The sequence below is a fragment of the Homo sapiens genome, chromosome 19 (genome assembly GCF_000001405.40).
Source record: "Homo sapiens chromosome 19, GRCh38.p14 Primary Assembly".
In the NCBI taxonomy this organism is placed as follows: Eukaryota; Metazoa; Chordata; class Mammalia; order Primates; family Hominidae; genus Homo; species Homo sapiens.
In genome coordinates, this window is record NC_000019.10 from 41,856,056 (window position 1) to 41,873,326 (window position 17,271).

At 51.7% G+C, this 17,271-nt stretch overlaps 1 protein-coding gene and 1 non-coding gene across 5 annotated transcripts, besides 7 other annotated features; both read left to right on the forward strand.

Moving 5' to 3' along the window:
- Positions 3,903–4,658: an enhancer, noted in NCBI's record as "NANOG-H3K27ac-H3K4me1 hESC enhancer chr19:42364028-42364783 (GRCh37/hg19 assembly coordinates)". NCBI's record gives its function as "activates a minimal SCP1, AML or CMV promoter by ChIP-STARR-seq in naive H9 embryonic stem cells {active_cell/tissue: H9 hESC(naive)}" and the evidence as "EXISTENCE:reporter gene assay evidence [ECO:0000049][PMID:30033119]".
- RPS19 (ribosomal protein S19) lies at positions 4,200–16,870 on the forward strand. 4 transcript variants are annotated; one of them, NM_001321484.2, is made up of 6 exons: positions 4,200–4,390; positions 4,720–4,790; positions 5,057–5,157; positions 12,976–13,159; positions 13,644–13,698; positions 15,296–16,870. In NM_001321484.2, the coding sequence occupies exons 2-6, from the start codon at positions 4,720–4,722 to the stop codon at positions 15,320–15,322; spliced, it is 438 nt and encodes a 145-aa protein (NP_001308413.1). In that variant the 5' UTR covers positions 4,200–4,390; the 3' UTR covers positions 15,323–16,870. The 4 variants fall into 4 exon arrangements, with proteins under 4 accessions (NP_001308413.1, NP_001308414.1, NP_001013.1 ...); NM_001321485.2 differs by having other exon boundaries at positions 4,200–4,234; positions 5,057–5,170; NM_001022.4 differs by having other exon boundaries at positions 4,200–4,234.
- Positions 4,212–4,341: a silencer, noted in NCBI's record as "silent region_10671". NCBI's record gives its function as "represses an Ori minimal core promoter by ATAC-STARR-seq in GM12878 lymphoblastoid cells {active_cell/tissue: GM12878}" and the evidence as "EXISTENCE:reporter gene assay evidence [ECO:0000049][PMID:35858748]".
- Positions 4,402–4,521: a silencer, noted in NCBI's record as "silent region_10672". NCBI's record gives its function as "represses an Ori minimal core promoter by ATAC-STARR-seq in GM12878 lymphoblastoid cells {active_cell/tissue: GM12878}" and the evidence as "EXISTENCE:reporter gene assay evidence [ECO:0000049][PMID:35858748]".
- Positions 10,388–10,447: a silencer, noted in NCBI's record as "silent region_10673". NCBI's record gives its function as "represses an Ori minimal core promoter by ATAC-STARR-seq in GM12878 lymphoblastoid cells {active_cell/tissue: GM12878}" and the evidence as "EXISTENCE:reporter gene assay evidence [ECO:0000049][PMID:35858748]".
- Positions 13,420–13,978: an enhancer, noted in NCBI's record as "H3K27ac-H3K4me1 hESC enhancer chr19:42373545-42374103 (GRCh37/hg19 assembly coordinates)". NCBI's record gives its function as "activates a minimal SCP1, AML or CMV promoter by ChIP-STARR-seq in primed H9 embryonic stem cells {active_cell/tissue: H9 hESC(primed)}" and the evidence as "EXISTENCE:reporter gene assay evidence [ECO:0000049][PMID:30033119]".
- MIR6797 (microRNA 6797) lies at positions 13,572–13,643 on the forward strand. Its single transcript, NR_106855.1, has one exon. It is a non-coding gene; the product is annotated as a microRNA 6797 (primary transcript).
- Positions 15,421–15,490: an enhancer, noted in NCBI's record as "active region_14684". NCBI's record gives its function as "activates an Ori minimal core promoter by ATAC-STARR-seq in GM12878 lymphoblastoid cells {active_cell/tissue: GM12878}" and the evidence as "EXISTENCE:reporter gene assay evidence [ECO:0000049][PMID:35858748]".
- Positions 15,731–15,990: an enhancer, noted in NCBI's record as "active region_14685". NCBI's record gives its function as "activates an Ori minimal core promoter by ATAC-STARR-seq in GM12878 lymphoblastoid cells {active_cell/tissue: GM12878}" and the evidence as "EXISTENCE:reporter gene assay evidence [ECO:0000049][PMID:35858748]".

Below are 17,271 nucleotides of genomic sequence, written 5' to 3' on the forward strand. Positions count from 1 at the left end.
GTTTTGGCAAATGTGTAATGACACGTATCCACCATTACAGTTTCATAGAGAATAGTTTCATTGCCCTAAACAACACCCATTCATCCCTCCATCCCTCCAAGCCGACAACCAATTATCATTTTATCATTTTATTGTCATCACAATTTTGCCTTTTTCCAGAATGTCATATAGTTGGAATCATACATTTGGATTGGCTTCTTTCAGTTAGTAAGGCATTTAAGGTTCCACCATATCTTTCTTTTGGCGGGGTGGAGGGGAGGGGGAGGCAGACAGGGTCCTGCTGCGGAGTGCAGTGGTGCTGGAACGCAGTGCACTTGGCTCACTGCAACCTCCGCCTCCCAGGTTCAAGCGATTCTCATGCCTCATCTTCCTGAGTAGCTGGGATTACAGGCGTGCACCACCACACCTAGCTAATTTTTGTATTTTTTTAGTAGAGACGGGATTTCGTTTTTTTGTTTTGTTTTTGTTTTGAGACGGAGTCTCGCTCTGTCTCCCAGGCTAGAGTGCAGTGGCGCAATCTCGGCTCACTGCAAACTCCGCCTCCCGGGTTCAGGCCATTCTCCTGCCTCAGCCTCCCGAGTAGCTGGGACTACAGGCGCCCACCACCTCCCCCAGCTAATGTTTTGTATTTTTAGTAGAGACGGGGTTTCACCATGTTAGCCAGGATGGTCTCCATCTCCTGACCTCGTGATCCGCCCGCCTCGGCCTCCCAAAGTGCTGGGATTACAGGCGTGAGCCACCGCGCCCGGCCTAATTTTTTGTATTTTAGTAGAGAGGGGGTTTCACCGTGTTGCCCAGGCTGGTCAAGAACTTCTAAACTCAGGCAATCTGCCCATCTCAGCCTCCCAAAGTGCTGGGATTACAGGCATGAGCCACCGCTCCCGGCCAGCTCATTTCTTTTTAGGGCTGAATAATATCCCACTGTTTGTAGGTACTACAGCCTCAACCCATTTTTAAAACTGTGTTTAAAGAGTTTATTGAGGCCGGGTGCGGTGGCTCACGCCTGTAATCCCAGCACTCCAGTGCCACTGCACTCCAGAGCAGGACCCTGTCTGCCTCCCCCTCCCCTCCACCCCGCCAAAAGAAAGATACGGGGGAACCTTAAATGCCTTACTAACTGAAAGAAGCCAATCCAAATGTATGATTCCAACTATATGACATTCTGGAAAAAGGCAAAATTGTGATGACAATAAAATGATAAAATGATAATTGGTTGTCGGCTTGGAGGGATGGAGGGATAAATGGGTGTTGTTTAGGGCAATGAAGCTATTCTCTATGAAACTGTAATGGTGGATACGTGTCATTACACATTTGCCAAAACTTGCAGAACATACAACAAGAGTGAACACTGATGTAAACTGCGGACTTTGGGTGATAATATTGTGTTCCTTGATTGTAGCAAAGGTACCACTCTGGTGTGGAATGTTGATAGAAAGGGAGGCCATCCCTGTGTGTCAGCATGGGGACTATGGGAATTCTGTACTTATACACTAAATTTACAGGCATGAGCCTGTAATCCCAGCACTCTGGGAGACCAAGGCGGGTGGATCACAAGGTCAGGAGATCAAGACCATCCTGGCTAACACGATGAAACCCCGTCTCTACTAAAAATACAAAAAATTACCCAGGCGTGGTGGCGGGAAACTGTAGTACCAGCTACTCGACAGGCTGAGGTAGGAGAATGGTGTGAACCCGGGAGGTGGAGCTTGCATGAGCAGAGATCACACCACTGCACTCCAGCCTGGGCGACAGAGCGAGACTCCGTCTCAAAAAAAAAAAAAGTTTATTGCAAAAGCTTGAGTATCTTCAGTTGTGGCTTCAAATCCGGGCTCAGGCTTTAACCTTATGTGACCCTGGACAAATGACTTGACTCTAAGGCTCAGTTGACTGGTCTATAACCACCTCACAGAGTTGTCAATTATGAACCTGTAAAAACTAACATGTACAAAAATTAACACCAGGGACACAGTGCTGAGAAACTGTGTTCTCTAAAATCACAGACTGCCAGAATTTTTAAAAATCTTTAAAATCATAACAATAGTGAAAATGGGACATCTCATTCTTACCTGGAAAGTCTAAGTCACTTTGACACAGAGAAGCAGTCATGATCTCAGAGAAGCGGTTTTTAGAGACAACATTGTACATTTATCTAAACTTTCTAATGTCCAAGGAAGCAGAATCCTGGGTCTGCTCCTCGCCCAGGCATGATGTTAGCTCCGTTGCATAAATACATGCCTGCTTTGCCTTATGTCCATCAAAACTCTGCTTTATATAAATTTTACCTAAGCTTCACTCTTCCCAAAATCCTATATTCACCCTGTCTCTTCCTTTGGTCAGGCACTCCAGAGTTCCTCTGGAGAGCTTTAAAAAAAAAAATTAAATTCAATGAAATGACTTAAATGAATTAAGTGTAAATGATTCAGAACTGGTATTAGAAATTATTAAAAGTGGGGGCCAGGCACGGTGGCTCACACCTGTAATCCCAGCATTTTGGGAGGCCAACGCAGGTGGATCACCTGAGGTCAGGAGTTCGAGACCAGCCTGGCCAACGTGGTGAAAACCCGTCTCTATAAAAATACAAAAATTAGCCAGGTGTGGTGGCAGGCACCTGTAATCCCAGCTACCTGGGAGCCTGAGGCCGGAGAATCGCTTGAACCCGGGAGGTGGAGGTTGCAGTGAACCAAGATCACATCATTGCACTCCCGCCTGGGCGACAAAGCGAGACTCCAACTCAAAAAAAATTAAATAATAATTACTTAAATTATAAAAAGTGAATATAAATTACCCAAGTACCTGGAGATTTCCAGTTAGACATGCATATATTACCCACTTTGAATACATATGGAAATATGTATGTGTTGGTTCTGGAAAAACAATTGAGATAATGAAAATATTTTCTCAAGTTTTAGAAACAGTATGAGATAGGTTTCAACAACATTCTACATGAATGTAAAACCTTGATTTAAATATATGATCTTATGCTAGAAGCATGGTTGGTTTTAATTTTTCTAACAGATACGAGTCTTGGCTTATTAATAATTAACACATTTTGCAGCCACAGTATCAGTGTGGGGTAAAATTCTAATATTTGCTCTTATGTTTTAAATTCTCAGTCTTTCCAACATAAGAAAATAGCTACACACATTTCAGTGTTTCCTTTTTGCAACAAGTTAACATAATTTTATTGGACCACGTTATTTAGTTGTTGGGCCTTGTAAGGATTAAATGAGATCATGCATGTAACACTACAGTAACAGCCACATGATAAATGTCCAAATAATATTTACCTGTGCCTGGCACAGAGCAGGCACTCAAAAAATATTTTTTAGAGCATGTGACGCGCCATGAACCAGAGGAGCCACTTTAAATGGACAAACGGGGATCTCATTTTTTTTTTTTTTTTTTAATGGTGAGACAAGCCCTGAGAAGGCAAATGGACTGCCTAAAGCTACACAGGTCAGCGGGGCAGGTAAATCTAAATTGGCAAAGTAAGGGCTGAGCGAACAGACTCCGACACTAGAAGGCAGAGCTGAACTAACTTCTGCTAAGGTCCCGCCTCTGCCGCTTTGTCCCGCCCTTATCTTCTCCCCTCCTCCAGCGCCTCATTCCCTTTTCGCTCGCCCCGGCCGTGCTGAAGCAACTTCCGCCCTGAGAAGGGTGGGGCTTCCGTCTCCCGCTCTCGCGACTCCTGGCGGTGAAGGACGGAAGATGATAGCCACATTTCTTCCTCGCCCTTCCCCTAGGTTCCCTGTCACAGTTCCGCCCTTACTACTCCCACTTCCGGCCAGGGAACAGCCACTTCCACCCGGAAAAGGGGTTGTTCCGCCGTGGGGCGCCAGCTGTGGCCCACCCATCCTGCCCCGTACTTTCGCCATCATAGTATTCTCCACCACTGTTCCTTCCAGCCACGAACGACGCAAACGAAGCCAAGTTCCCCCAGCTCCGAACAGGAGCTCTCTATCCTCTCTCTATTACACTCCGGGAGAAGGAAACGCGGGAGGAAACCCAGGCCTCCACGCGCGACCCCTTGGCCCTCCCCTTTACCTCTCCACCCCTCACTAGACACCCTCCCCTCTAGGCGGGGACGAACTTTCGCCCTGAGAGAGGCGGAGCCTCAGCGTCTACCCTCGCTCTCGCGAGCTTTCGGAACTCTCGCGAGACCCTACGCCCGACTTGTGCGCCCGGGAAACCCCGTCGTTCCCTTTCCCCTGGCTGGCAGCGCGGAGGCCGCACGGTAAGCGGGGGCTCCGAGCTGGACCGGGCGCGAGGCGGCAGGGCCGGACGCCGAAGCCTCAGAGCGCGTGCCTGAGGGCCCCGAGGCGCCCGGCGCGGGCCCGTCCCGCCCCCTAGAGCCGCGGCCACGTGCGAGCGGCAGGCCCGGACATGCCCGGTCAGCGCCGTCCGGGAACCGAGCGTGGGCCCCGGGGGGCAGCGGCGGGGTGCGTGGGGCGTCCGGAGTCCCGGGGCTGGGGAGTGGGGTCGCGCAGGATCCTCACACGCAGGGGCCGGGCTCTGTTAGTGCGATCCAGAGAGGCCGTGGGCGTCGGTGAGCTCCTTCAGACCCGCAGGAGCCGGAGCCCGGCGTTGAAGGGGCCGTGGGAAGTAACGGGGGGTACCACGGTTTAGGATGCGCTGGAGCGAAAGGATTGGGGTGGGGTCCGTGCTCTTGGCAGTCGTCTCTGCCAGGCCTGTGTTCACATGCTTGACTTTCTCCCTCAGATGCCTGGAGTTACTGTAAAAGACGTGAACCAGCAGGAGTTCGTCAGAGCTCTGGCAGCCTTCCTCAAAAAGTGAGTTTGGGGACTGAGGTTCAAAACGGGTGGAGGCTGTCGCCTTGGCCTGCCCATCTGAGCCCCAGTGTTTGCCGGTCCCTGGCAGGCGAGGCTTGTTTGGGGCCTCCGTGGCTCCTTTCAGCGTGAGGCCTGGCTTGTGTTCCGGTTCCAGCCTCTCTTTGTACTCTGGGCACAGCATAGTTGTGTTGAGGGGAGGGCATTTGGGATATGGGGTAGTTTGTGGAGATGACTGAATCGTGCTTTTCCCACTGTTTTGGTCTTAGGTCCGGGAAGCTGAAAGTCCCCGAATGGGTGGATACCGTCAAGCTGGCCAAGCACAAAGAGCTTGCTCCCTACGATGAGAACTGGTTCTACACGCGAGCTGGTGAGGAACTTAGGTCTTTGGCTGGAGAGTGGGGAGCTGGGTGACCCCTGGCACAAACCATACTTCCCTGTCTCCTCTGAGCTCTTTCCCGCCCCAAGAGGGAGAGAAACCCTTGGTTGTGTCACCACTTGCTTTGTGTGATGTGACATTCGATAACTTGGTACTCCAAGTTTTTATGACATTCTAAGAGCTTTGTGAGAGGAGGACCTGTGGCTTTGAGCCTCAGGGGAAACCAGAGACAGATGAATGTTCATATTTTGCTTACAGGTGGTTTAATCCTTTCTATATACACGGAGGCAGACTCCCTGGGTTTGGATCCATCTTTTACATCTGGCTGTGTGTCCTCTGGCAAGTTGGTTAACCTGCCTGTGCACTCTCTCATCCCCAAAATGGGACTAATTATTGTACCAGTACTAGAGTATTGCAAGGATTGAATGAATTTAAAGCAGAGTGTTTAGAACGTGTCTGTTGCACAGTAGTTATTCAGGAAAAAGCCAGTTGTCTTTACTATTGCTCAGATCATCAAGTTAGCCTTCTCCATATCTCTAACAGGCTGTTTCTAACTAAATGGTTGGAGATCTGGCCAGGTCAGTCCCTGCTTTAAATCTTGACTTCTGATCTTATGGACACCCTGCAACCTCGTGCCAGCCCCGTCTCTTTTCAATCTTCCAATAATAATTTATGTACAGTCCCTGACTAGTGTTAGTTCTCACGTGTCTTAATATTTCAGTACTCACTAAATCTTCACTTTCAGGAAGATGTAACAGGGTGGGCGGTGGCAGTGCCGTGTTATGTCAAGGTGACAGCCTTAGCACCGACCTTCACTAAGGGGCCTCGGCCTCTCCAATCTTAAACCTTCTCTCTCTGTGAAGTGGGGACTCCATCCTGACCACAACTTGTCTCCAGATAAGAAGTAGGTGGGAAGCAGGGTTTGGAAATCGGCAAAACTCCTCCATGACCCGGAAAAGAGTTGGCCTTGGTACAGGTTGCTTGGCCCTTCAGAATATGAAGCATTTTGTAGATTTGTGGTACACTTGTGCCTCAAATGTCTATTGGGGCCCACTCTTTCAGGCCATGGAGTGAGCACAGAGGACCAGCATAACTCAGCCGCGGCCTCTGAGGACTGAAAGATGAACTTGCTGAGGTGGGTCGGGTTGCTGGCATACCACCTACCCACCGTTTGTTTTAGACAGAAAATGGGGCGGATGAAGAGAAGCTGACTTCCCTGGGCGCACAGCAGTGACAAGCCCTGGAAGTTACATATCTCCTCCACCTGTCCCCCCATCTTGCTTTGGCAGTGCCTCAAGGGTCAGTTGGTCAGAGCAGCTTTGGATCTGGGATTAGCCTTTCTCATTTGCTGGGGTGAAGACACGTTCTGCACATACCAAATACCTCCAAAGTAGGACTGTATGTGTCTTGTACATTTTTTTTTTTTTTTTTAACATGGGGAGGGATTAACAAGAGATGGCATTAAGACCTTGGATAATAAACCTAGTTGCATCTGCTGGTCATGGTAGAGCTGCTGTGGTCCCTTGCAGCCCACAGTGGCCCTGCCTGGAAACCTCAAGCAGGATGTGCATCTTCTGCCTGCCTACTGATCTCCATCACTTGGAGTACCCCAAAGGCCTCTTTTTCACCTCACTTGCCCAGCTGTCCTAGCGGCATAGGATGGTTGTGTGGTAGACCAGAGGCCTGTTGTGTATATTTTTGTTGGGTTATAGCCACCCCTGTGTATCTACATGCACAAGGGCAGAGTTGTAGTTGTGGCAGAAGCTGTAGCCTACAAAGCCTGAAATATTTCCTACCTGACCCTTTATTATTTATTTTCAGGGACAGGGTCTAGGCCTGTCACCCAGGTTGGAGTGCAGTGGCACAATTATAGCTCACTGCAGCTTCTTGGGCTCAAGTGATCCTCCTGCCCCACCCTCCTAAGTAGCTGGGACTACAGGTGCCTATCAGTCACCATGCCTAGCTAATTTTTTTTATTTGTAGAGATGGAGTCTCACTATGTTGAACTCCCAAGCTCAAGCGGTCCTCCCGCCTCAGCCTTCCAAAGCACTGGGATTACAGGCAAAGTTGACCAGCCTCTATTCTAGAGTTTAACATGTTCCACCCAGTTTGGCAGTCAGCTTATACTGATCATGGGAGTGATCTTGTTTTACCAAAGAGGAAGCTGTGGTGCAGACGGGCGAAGGGACTTGCTGCAAGTTACCCTGGGAGGGCTTGGCAGGGTGGCTCTGTCCAAAACTAGGTTCCCTGCTATATTCCCTTTTTTCTACTCATAAGAGTCTGGCCTATTTTGCCTCCTCAGATTTGAGGCTAAAGTGTGCTAAAGCAGCGCCCTTGCTGAGCAGGGCCAAATTGTGGAGACCTATAGGAATGAGTGTGAGGTAGACAGGTCTTAATCCTGGGGTTTGGGGGTAAAGAGGCCCATGGTAGAAGATGGGGCCCTCTTGAGGGTGGTCTGGAAATGGAGCAGAGCTGTAGGAGTAAGCAGTCCCAAGGCAGTGGTGTAGGAGGCAGGGCAAGGTAGAGGAAGAACCCGCAAAGACTTGCTCTCACTGGACGTTCAAGGGATGGCCGCCATGGGTCTTTATGAAGGGGGTGGTGCAGTGTAGCCCCGGACAGGCTTTTTTTTTTTTTTTTTTTTTTAAACAGAGTTGCACTGTCACCAGGCTGGAGTACACTGGTGCCGTCTCGGCTAACTGCAACCTCTGCCTGCCGGGTTCAAGCAATTCTCCTACCTCAGCCTCCCAAGTACCTGGGACTACAGGTGCCCGCCACCACGCCCAGCTAATTTTTCTATTTTTAGTAGAGACGGGTTTTCACCATGTTGGCTGGGATGCTCTCGATCTCTTGACCTCGTGATCCGCCCGCCTCGGCCTCCCAAAGTGCTGGGATTACAGGCATGAGCTCCCGCACCCAGCTGGACAAGCCTCTTGCTGTCTTAATTCTTTAAAGGACCTGCTGAAGATGGAGATGTGGGAGTCCAGTTTGGTGTCCTGGTGTGCGTCTGAGAGCAGCTGCTGAATTGGGATGTCTGGAAACACTTCTTGTAGGTTGGAGGCTGCTCCATCTCTGGCTCCTGCATGGGGCTGGGCACCCACTTGTGCTATGATAGTAGAAAGAATGAGATCTGGGAGGCATCACAGAAGTGAGTTAAGGGATGAATCAAGGTCAGGAGAGTGGTTTCTTACAAGTTCGGCAGAGAAGGGTCAGCTAGAGTGTGCTGGGGAAGTTCTTCCCTGCCTTTGACTCAGTAGGTCAGGATGGGACCACCGGTCTGGACTTTGCTGAGCTGTGATGACTCCTAAGGAGCCGTGCTTGGTTGGTCTGCCCCGTGCTCAGATCCAGAGGGACCCTCCCTCTCGGTCTAGCAGGAACACAGCTGCCCTCCCTTGACCATGAACTCACAGTAGAGTGGAGAGGGGTGGCCTCCTTTACAGTTCCAGGTAGGGGGTGATTCCTGGACAGGGGTTCCTGAGAGGAGTGGGTTGCCATCCCAAGAATGCACACAGCAGAGGAGCAGAAGGCCTCTAGCATGGAGGAACTGGAGGAGAACCCATTTGTGACAGCAACTTGCTCGCAATTGGCCCTCATGAGTACCAGCTACGGCGGTCTGCATTTGTGCAGCTCCACATCAAAAGCTGGGGCTGGAACCTTGGTCTCCAGGGGGTGAGGAAAAAGGTCAGTGTTTTAATAGAACGCGGTATTTCAACTCTTAGCATTTTCCAATTTGTGAAGTTAATAACCCTTCCTCTCCCTTCTAGTGGGTCAGAAAAAAATAATTAGCATGAACTGGGATAGCAAGGGAGGAGCTTGTAATATCTGACCAAGGTTCTCCATGCCAAAAGGTTTTTATACAGCCTTAAGAAAAATTTAAGCCTCCATTGAAGAACCTAATAGGCCTTTGGGAGGCCAAGGCAGGCGGATCACCTGAGGTCAAGAGTTTGAGACCATCCTGACCAATGTGGTGAAACCCCGTCTCTACTAAAAATAAAAATTAGCCAGGCGTGGTAGCAGGCGCCTGTAGTCCCAGCTACTGGGGAGGCTGAGACAGAAGAATTGCTTGAACCCCGGAGGCAGAGGTTGCAGTGAGTCTGAGATCACGCCACTGCACTCCAGCCTGGGCAACAGAGTGAGACTGTCTCAAAAAAAAAAAAAAAGCACCTAATAGGCCTTATGGGAGCTTGTTCTCTACCAGTCACTGTGCTCAAGGTTTAAGTAAAGTGTCTCCTTTAGTACCGCAGCACAAACCACCTGGAGGATAGGTGGGTCCTGTGTCCCTCCTGAGGAGGAACGGTGTCAGGATTCAAGCTCCTGTCTGACTGCTCTGGGCGCTAGTCCCAACCCAACAAGACTGAGGTTGAGTGTCCCATTTCTGGTGTACAGCCGCTTTGGGCATCTCTGCGCTTAGGAGTGTGTGCCTTATTCTTAAAAAGCAAGATAACAGAGGCCCGGCGCGGTGGCTCACACCTGTAATCCCAGCACTTTCGGAGGCCGAGGCGGGCGGATCATGAGGTCAAGAGATCGAGACCATCCTGGCTAACATGGTGAAACCCCATGTCTACTAAAAATACGAAAAAATTAGCCGGGCGTGGTGGCGGGCGCCTGTAGTCCCAGTTACTGTAGAGGCTGAGGCAGGAGAATAGCATGAACCCGGGAGGCGGAGCTTGCAGTGAGCTGAGATCACGCCACTGCACTCCAGCCTGGGCGACAGAGTGAGACTCCGTCTTTAAAAAAAAAAAAAAAAAAAAAAGGCCGGGCGCGGTGGCTCATGCCTGTAATCCCAGCACTTTGGGAGGCCGAGGCGGGCGGATCAGGAGGTCAGGAGTTTGAGACCAGCCTGGCCAGCATGGTGAAACCCCATCTCTACTAAAAATACAAAACATTAGCCAGGTGTGGTGGCGTGTGCCTGTAGTCCCAGCTACTCGGGAGGCTGAGACAGGAGAATTGCTTGAACCTGGGAGGCGGAGCTAGCAGTGAGCCCAGATGGCACCACTGCACTCCAACCTAGGCAACAGAGAAAGACTCCGTCTCAAAAAAAAAATAAAGCAGGATAACAGGAAAAGCTATTCTGCGTTCCCCAGTCCTGGGTACTGTAGTTCAAATGGGAGAGCAGGTCTCCACCCAGAGCCCCAGGGCACAACCAGCTACAGGGCCCAGAGGGATGGCAGCAGCTGCTGGGTATTTGAGCTGGTCTGAAAGGGTGGAGGTTTCCAGTGATGTCACTCTCTGGCAGGATTGTGGGGGGTGGCTTACGCCAGGTGAGTCTGTCTATTGGTCCTGGTTATGGGCACTTATTACCAGGCAGTGGCGTAGGGGGTAGGGCCTGGAGTGAGGTGGGGATTTTAAAGTGAGCAGATGCCAGAGGTAGTGAGCCAACAGCAGGGCTGTGCTCTTGGCCCCCAGCAGAGCATGGTTGTATAGTATCAGCTGAGGATTGGTTCCAGGATGAACCCCAATACCCAAGTCCACAGATGCTCACCCTTACTATAAAATGGTGTAATATCGGGGCCAGGGGCCGGGTGCGGTGGCTCAACCCTGTAATCCCAGCACTTTGGGAGGCCAAGGCAGGTGGATTACGAGGTCAGGAGATTGAGACCATCCTCGCTAACACGGTGAAACCCCGTCTCTACTAAAAATACAAAAAAATTAGCCAGGCGTGGTGGCGGGCCCCTGTAGTCCCAGCTACTCTGGAGGCTGAGGCAGGAGAATGGAGTGAACCCGGAAGGCAGAGCTTGCAGTGAACCGAGATTGCGCCACTGCACTCCAGCCTGGGCGACAGAGCGAGAGACTCCATCTCAGAAAAAAAAAATATCGGGGCCAGCACAGTGGCACACACCTGTAATCCCAGCACTTTGGGAGGCCAAGATGGGTGGTTCACTTCACTCCAGGAGTTCAGCCAGAGCAACATGGCAAAACCGGGTCTCTTCAGAAATTATCTGGGCGTGGTGGCTTGCACCTGTAGTCCCAACTATTCAGGAGGTCAAAGCTGCAGTGAGCTGTTACCACTGCACTCCAGCCTGGGTGACAGAATGATGCCCTGTCTCCAAAAAAAAAAAAAAGTATAATATTTGCATATATCCTATGTAGATGTTTTACTTTTGAGACAGAGTCTCACTCTGTCACCCAGTCTGGAGTGCAGTGGCATGATCTTGGCTAACTGCAACCTCTGCCTCCCAGGTTCAAGTGATTCTCCTGCCCTGCCTCAGCCTCCCAGGTAGCTGGGGTTACAGCGGGTGTGCCACCACACCTGGCTAATTTTCTTGTAATTTCAGTAGAGATGGGGTTTCACCATGTTGGCCAGGCTGGTCTCAAACTCCTGACCTCAGGTGATTCTCCCGCCTCAGCCTCCCAAAGTGGTGGGATTACAGGCGTGAGCCACTGCGCCCGGCCTGATCCCATATATTTTAAATCATCTGTAGATTACTTATAGATTAATACAGGCCAGACATGGCACATACTTATAGTCCCAGCTACTTAGGAGGCTGAGGCAAGAGGATTGCTTAAGCCCAGGAGTTCGAGGCTGCAGTGAGCTATGATCACACCACAGCACCCCAGCCTGGGTGACAGAATGAGGCCCTTTTTTTGTGTTTTAAGAAAAAAGAAAAAGCACTAATACGGTGTAAATAATTGTTACACTGTTTTGAATTGTAGTTTTTTTCCCCTAAATATTTTTGATCCACCCTTGGTTGAGTCTGTGGATATGAAGGGCTGGCTGTATCTGGACCTGATCTCAGGGCAGGAGTGGGCTGGGAACAAGCGGTGTGTAAGAACTGTTTCTGGGCAGAAGCAGCCCACCCCACACAGACTACTGCCTGGCACTTGGCAGTTATGGAAGAACCCCCAATTCCCCCACTTGATCTTTAGAACTAGAGGAAAGAAATCACTAGAGCAGACTCAGACCAACTTGCTGATCTCTGGGTCCCAGGAACAAACCAGACTCTGCTCTGAGCTCCAGAGCTAGGCAGGACCATGTGATGGCTGAAATCTGGGTGCTTCCTGCATGTGGGCCCCGGTGCCATCACAGTGGCAGGACAGGGCAGTTCCTCCAGAGCTGTGTGACACGGAGCCAGTGAGTACCCTCTGGCACCTCAGTTTCACTCTTTAAAGGAGAGTAGCACTTGACACACCTGTTGAGTCCTCAGAGTAACCCGGCCCTCAGGTGAAGAAGGGTGGAGAGATCGAAAAGCATTTGGCACAGGGCCTGGCAGATGTGTGCTCCAGTTAATAGAAGCGTGCAAGCGTTTCTGGGGAGGCTGGTGTGTCGACTGGATTTTACGGAGCTTTTTTTGCAGGCAAGGAGGCTGGCTGGGGTGGACCAGGGACTTGCCCAAGCCAGCCTTCCCTGTGTCTGCAGAGGGGCTGGTACACATTCCAAGCAGGGGGCACCCACTGCACAGAGTGTCTGCCCTGCCCTTGTTATCCTGAGCTCTCCAGACTGAGGTGGCCCGGAGAGTGGCAATAGGTCCCTTCACTCCTGCTTCTCTGGGGCCCATGGAGATGGTCACAGCTAGGCTCCACCCCTACATAACCTCAGGTTCAATTCAACAGCAGTGCTGCTGGGATAGTAACCACTAAAGAAGTTGGCCCTGGAGATGGTGGGAGTGCCCACCCAGGGTGCAGGGCTGTTTGTCAAGGAAGAGCTAGCCGGGGGGGTGGGTGAGGAGAGGGGGCTGTCAGTTTCTGGGTGTTAGTGTGTGTTTTCAGTTTCCCTTCTTATAAAACAGTGAGAATTAGCTGTTTACACACAAGGAATTGTTTACCTGAGACCTTGATCAAGACCCTTAAATCTCCCTCTCACACTACCCCCAGCTTCCACAGCGCGGCACCTGTACCTCCGGGGTGGCGCTGGGGTTGGCTCCATGACCAAGATCTATGGGGGACGTCAGAGAAACGGCGTCATGCCCAGCCACTTCAGCCGAGGCTCCAAGAGTGTGGCCCGCCGGGTCCTCCAAGCCCTGGAGGGGCTGAAAATGGTGGAAAAGGACCAAGATGGGTAAGCAGGGTAGAGGGGGCTGCATTGATGGAGTAGCCTTGAGGCCCGGTCATCAATTCCCCAACGAATGGTCCTGCATAGTCTGCCCAGCCCCTCAGGCCCCTCCTATCAGAGGCAGGCAGGAGGGGATTCTGCAGAAAAGCAAACAGCACGGGGCCTCACCCCGACCTCTCTGGCTGACTAGCCCAGGCTCCAGGAGGGTAATTTAGCGACTATCTGCTTTCATTAGCCTGCTCGTTAACTTTTCCCAATTGATTTTTCGGGGCTTTTGATCTAAATGCTTGCACAAACAACACCCCGTCAGCTCCCAGGGGGGCTCCCACTACTGCCCCCAGCTCGTTAGAATGCACCTGACTAGGGCCCTCAGTGGGACTTGGCTGGCGGCAGGTGGCTTTTTGAGAAGCCTGGCTCACAGCCAGGAGGGAAGGGGCTGAGAACAGGACCTGTGCTCACTGGGGCCTGCATGACCCTTCCCTCCCCACAGCGGCCGCAAACTGACACCTCAGGGACAAAGAGATCTGGACAGAATCGCCGGACAGGTAAGGCCTGCGTTTGGGGTGGGGCTGGGTCCCTTAGTCGCTGCCCAAGCATTTCCAAAGCCCATACTTTGTCAGGTAGACTTATTTCCTTCTCTGGAGGGCACAGCCCAGGGTGCTGGTGGGGTCAGAGGAGGGCTGCCCAGAGACAGGAGAAAGGACAGTCCTGTCTGACTTTTCCTGTTGGTGCTGCTTAGAAATTTGGAGGCAGGCTGGCTGTGGTGTCTCACCCCTGTAATCCCAGCACTTTGGGATGCCGAGGCAGGCGAATTATCTGAGGTCAGGAGTTCAAGACCATTCTGACCAACATGGAGAAACCCTGTCTCTACTAAAAATACAAAATTAGCCGGGTGTGGTGGCACATTCCTGTAATCTCAGCTACTGGGGAGGCTGAGGCACAAAAATCACTTGAACCCGGGAGGTGGAGGCTGCGGTGAGCCAAGATCATGCCATTGCACCCCAGCCTGGGCAACAAGAGTGAAACTCCATCTCAAAAAAAAAAAAATTGGAGGGAACTCCAGCCCAGGTGCCACTGGGCATCTATCCACAGAGCACATAGCTGTACCCGTAGATGACTCCCCCTCCCCAGGTCAGCCTGCGATGTTTCCCCTTAGTCCTCATGCGTACTGAGCATCACATGGGCTGCTTGGGAGAGGTGGAGATAAGGGAGGGGGGCTGGTTCAGAACCCAGGTCTCCATTCAGATCCTGGCTGGCCAACACCCTGGGGCAGAGTGGCCACACCCCTGGTGCCACAGTCTCCTGTCTTGGCCTCCCTGTGGCCAAAATCTACCCTTGGCCACCTCAAGCATGGTAGTGAGGAGTCAGTGAGCTATAGTACAGCAGGAGCACCCAGGGCCTGGCATGAGCTCAATTCTGTATCACTGACTCAGGCCTCCTAGGAGCCTTGGAGCATTTAGTCAGTCAAGTGTCACAAAAGAATGGAAAGTGTCAGCCCTCTAGGAGTTGGGGGTGGTCTGGAAGGAGAAAGCTCTTCCAGGCAGAGTGGGGCTTGGCGCACACATCATTGCTGGTGGTTGGATGTTGGCCTTCTCACATGGCAGTGGGCGGAATTTGGACTCCACTCCGCCACTCCCTTCCTTTTTTTTTTTTTTTTTTTTTTTTTTTTTTTGAGACAGAGTCTTGCTCTGTCGCCCAGGCTGGAGTGCAGTGGTGCAATGTCAGCTCACTGCAACCTCTGCCACCTGGGTTCAAGCAATTCTCCTATCTCAGCTTCCCGAGTAGCTGGGACTACAGGCACACACCACCACACCTGGCTAGTTTTTATATTTTTAGTAGAGACAGGGTTTCACCATATTGGTCAGGCTGGTCTCGAACTCTTGACCTCAGGTGATCCACCTGCCTCGGCCTTCCAGAGTGCTGGGATTAAAGGTGTGAGCCACTGTGCCTGGCCACTCCCTTGAGACTCAGTTTCCACGTCTGTGAAATGGGGGAATACCCACAGTGAGAATTAGATGAGATAGATGCATTTGAAACCACAAATCGGGGTGCCCACCTGTGGTGGGTAGTTAGGTAGCTGTTACAAAGTGCCCCAGCAGAGACCCCCTTGACTAACTTTTATTCTTCCATCTTTTCCCACAGGTGGCAGCTGCCAACAAGAAGCATTAGAACAAACCATGCTGGGTTAATAAATTGCCTCATTCGTAATCCTGGTCTGGGTCTCTTTTTTGAGTCTCTTGCTCTGTCGCCCAGGCTGGAGTGCAGTGGCGCCATCTCAGCTCACTGCAATCTCCGCCTTCTGGGTTCAAATGATTCTCCTGCCTCAGCCTCCCAAAGTGCTGGGATTACAAGTGTGAGCCACTGTGCCTGGTCTGGTTTGGGTCTCTTGATTGTTCTTCAGGGGCATGAGGAAGAGGCGCTTCCTCCCTTCCCTTGGGTGAGGGGGCCCAGGGTGATTGGGTGGCTGTTTACCCGGCAGCCAGTCGGGCCTTCCCAGGTCAAACAGTTCCCATCTGGGTTTGGAGGAAGGACCCAGGGGCCCTTGTGGCTCACTCCCCCACATCCTGTCTTTGCAATTGTCAGAAAGTGAGAAACGAAAGGATGGCTGTGAGCTGTGACCTCAGCTGGGCCTGGGCTGCAGAGGTGGCTTCCGCTGGAGTAAAGCAAGAGGGCCCAGGGTTCATGCTCTTCCCTGGAAGGTAGAAAAGGACAGACCACCAGGGAGCCTCCACCGCAAACTGACCTGTGCTGCCTACACACTAACTTTCCTGGGCCTGGGGCCTGCACAGGCTGAATGGTCCTTGAGCCTTCACTCTGCATCTGAGCGGTCTTGGGCCCGCTGAGTGGCAGTGGCAGGAAGTCGGTGGAAGCAGATCCCTGTGCAGAAGTTGAATTACCAGGGCGGCCACACACGGGCTGCACAACCTTTGCAGTCGTGCACGGCAAGTGGGATGTGGCCTCCGCCCATGATTGGGCACCTGGTCAGGCTGGGAGATCCAAATAGCACCCAGTGGGCAGCTGTCCGACCCCTGGAGGGGCAAGCCAGGAAAGAAACTTAGGGCCCGCTGTGACCAGATGTCCCTCCCAGTTGGGAAGACTAAACTGGTTTGGCCAATATCTCCCAGGATTCCCCTGTCCAAATTATTCCTGGGATCTGACCCATTTCCTGGAAAGGGGCGAGCCTGGGTTTTGAAGTTCAAACTAGAGTTTAAATCACAACTCTGCCCCTAATCCCACGTAACCCTGTGCACCTTATCCTCTGAGCCTTCGTCTCCTCGTGTGTAAGCCTGCTAACTCCTGAGAGACTGGACAAGATGCCGTGGAGAGCCTTGGCTCTGAGTAGCTCTGCTGCTGGACAGTTCAGTTGGCAGTCCCCAAACGTAAGGCGTAAGAGTTTAAGAAGTATCGGCCAGGCACAGTGGCTCACACCTGTAATCTCAACACTTTGGGAGGCCGAGACGGGCTGATCACCTGAGGTTGGGAGCTTGAGAACAGCCTGACCAACATGGAGAAACCCTGTCTCTAAAAATACCAAAATTAGTTGGGCATGGTGGCGCGCACCTGTAATCCCAGCTACTCAGGAGGCTGAGGCAGAAGAATCGCTCGAACCCCGGAGGCGGAGGTTGCAGTGGGTTGAGATCGAGCAATTGCAATCCAGCCTGGGCAACAGAGCGAGACTCCATTTCAAAAAAAGAATCAATAAAAATGTTAAAAGCACCGTTGTTTACACTCAGCAACTCTGTGAAGTAAGTGCCGAAAAGTGCTTTGGAGGTAGGTAAAGTAAGCCATAGGCTGGGTAACTTGCCAGATATCCCACAGCTGGAGCCATCATATGAACCCAAGCAACCCAGCTGCAGCCTGGACCTAGCCACTCCAAGGGCTCTGTGCCTCAGAAAAGAGGCCCAAAGGGTTGCACTCTAGCTGCAGGCCAGTCACTCCCCATTCTGGGCTCTAGTTTCCTCTTTTGGCCATTAATGAAAACATTTCCCAGAGCTGACATGAGAACTCAATGCCAAGCGTCCGGTTTGCACAGCAGCAGGCATTGCGCTTCCCAGGTAGGAAGCAAGGTCTAGGTGTCCCGAGCAGGCCTGCAATCCCGCAGCCGCGCCGCTCCAGCC

Coding starts and splice junctions, on each gene's coding strand:
- RPS19 (NM_001321485.2), top strand. CDS start 4,720: ATGCCTGGAGTTACTGTAAAAGACGTGAACCAGCAGGAGTTCGTCAGA. Junction 5,171..12,975: donor CGAGCTGGTGAGGAACTTAG/GTCTTTGGCTGG, acceptor CACTACCCCCAG/CTTCCACAGCGCGGCACCTG. Junction 13,699..15,295: donor TGGACAGAATCGCCGGACAG/GTAAGGCCTGCG, acceptor CTTTTCCCACAG/GTGGCAGCTGCCAACAAGAA.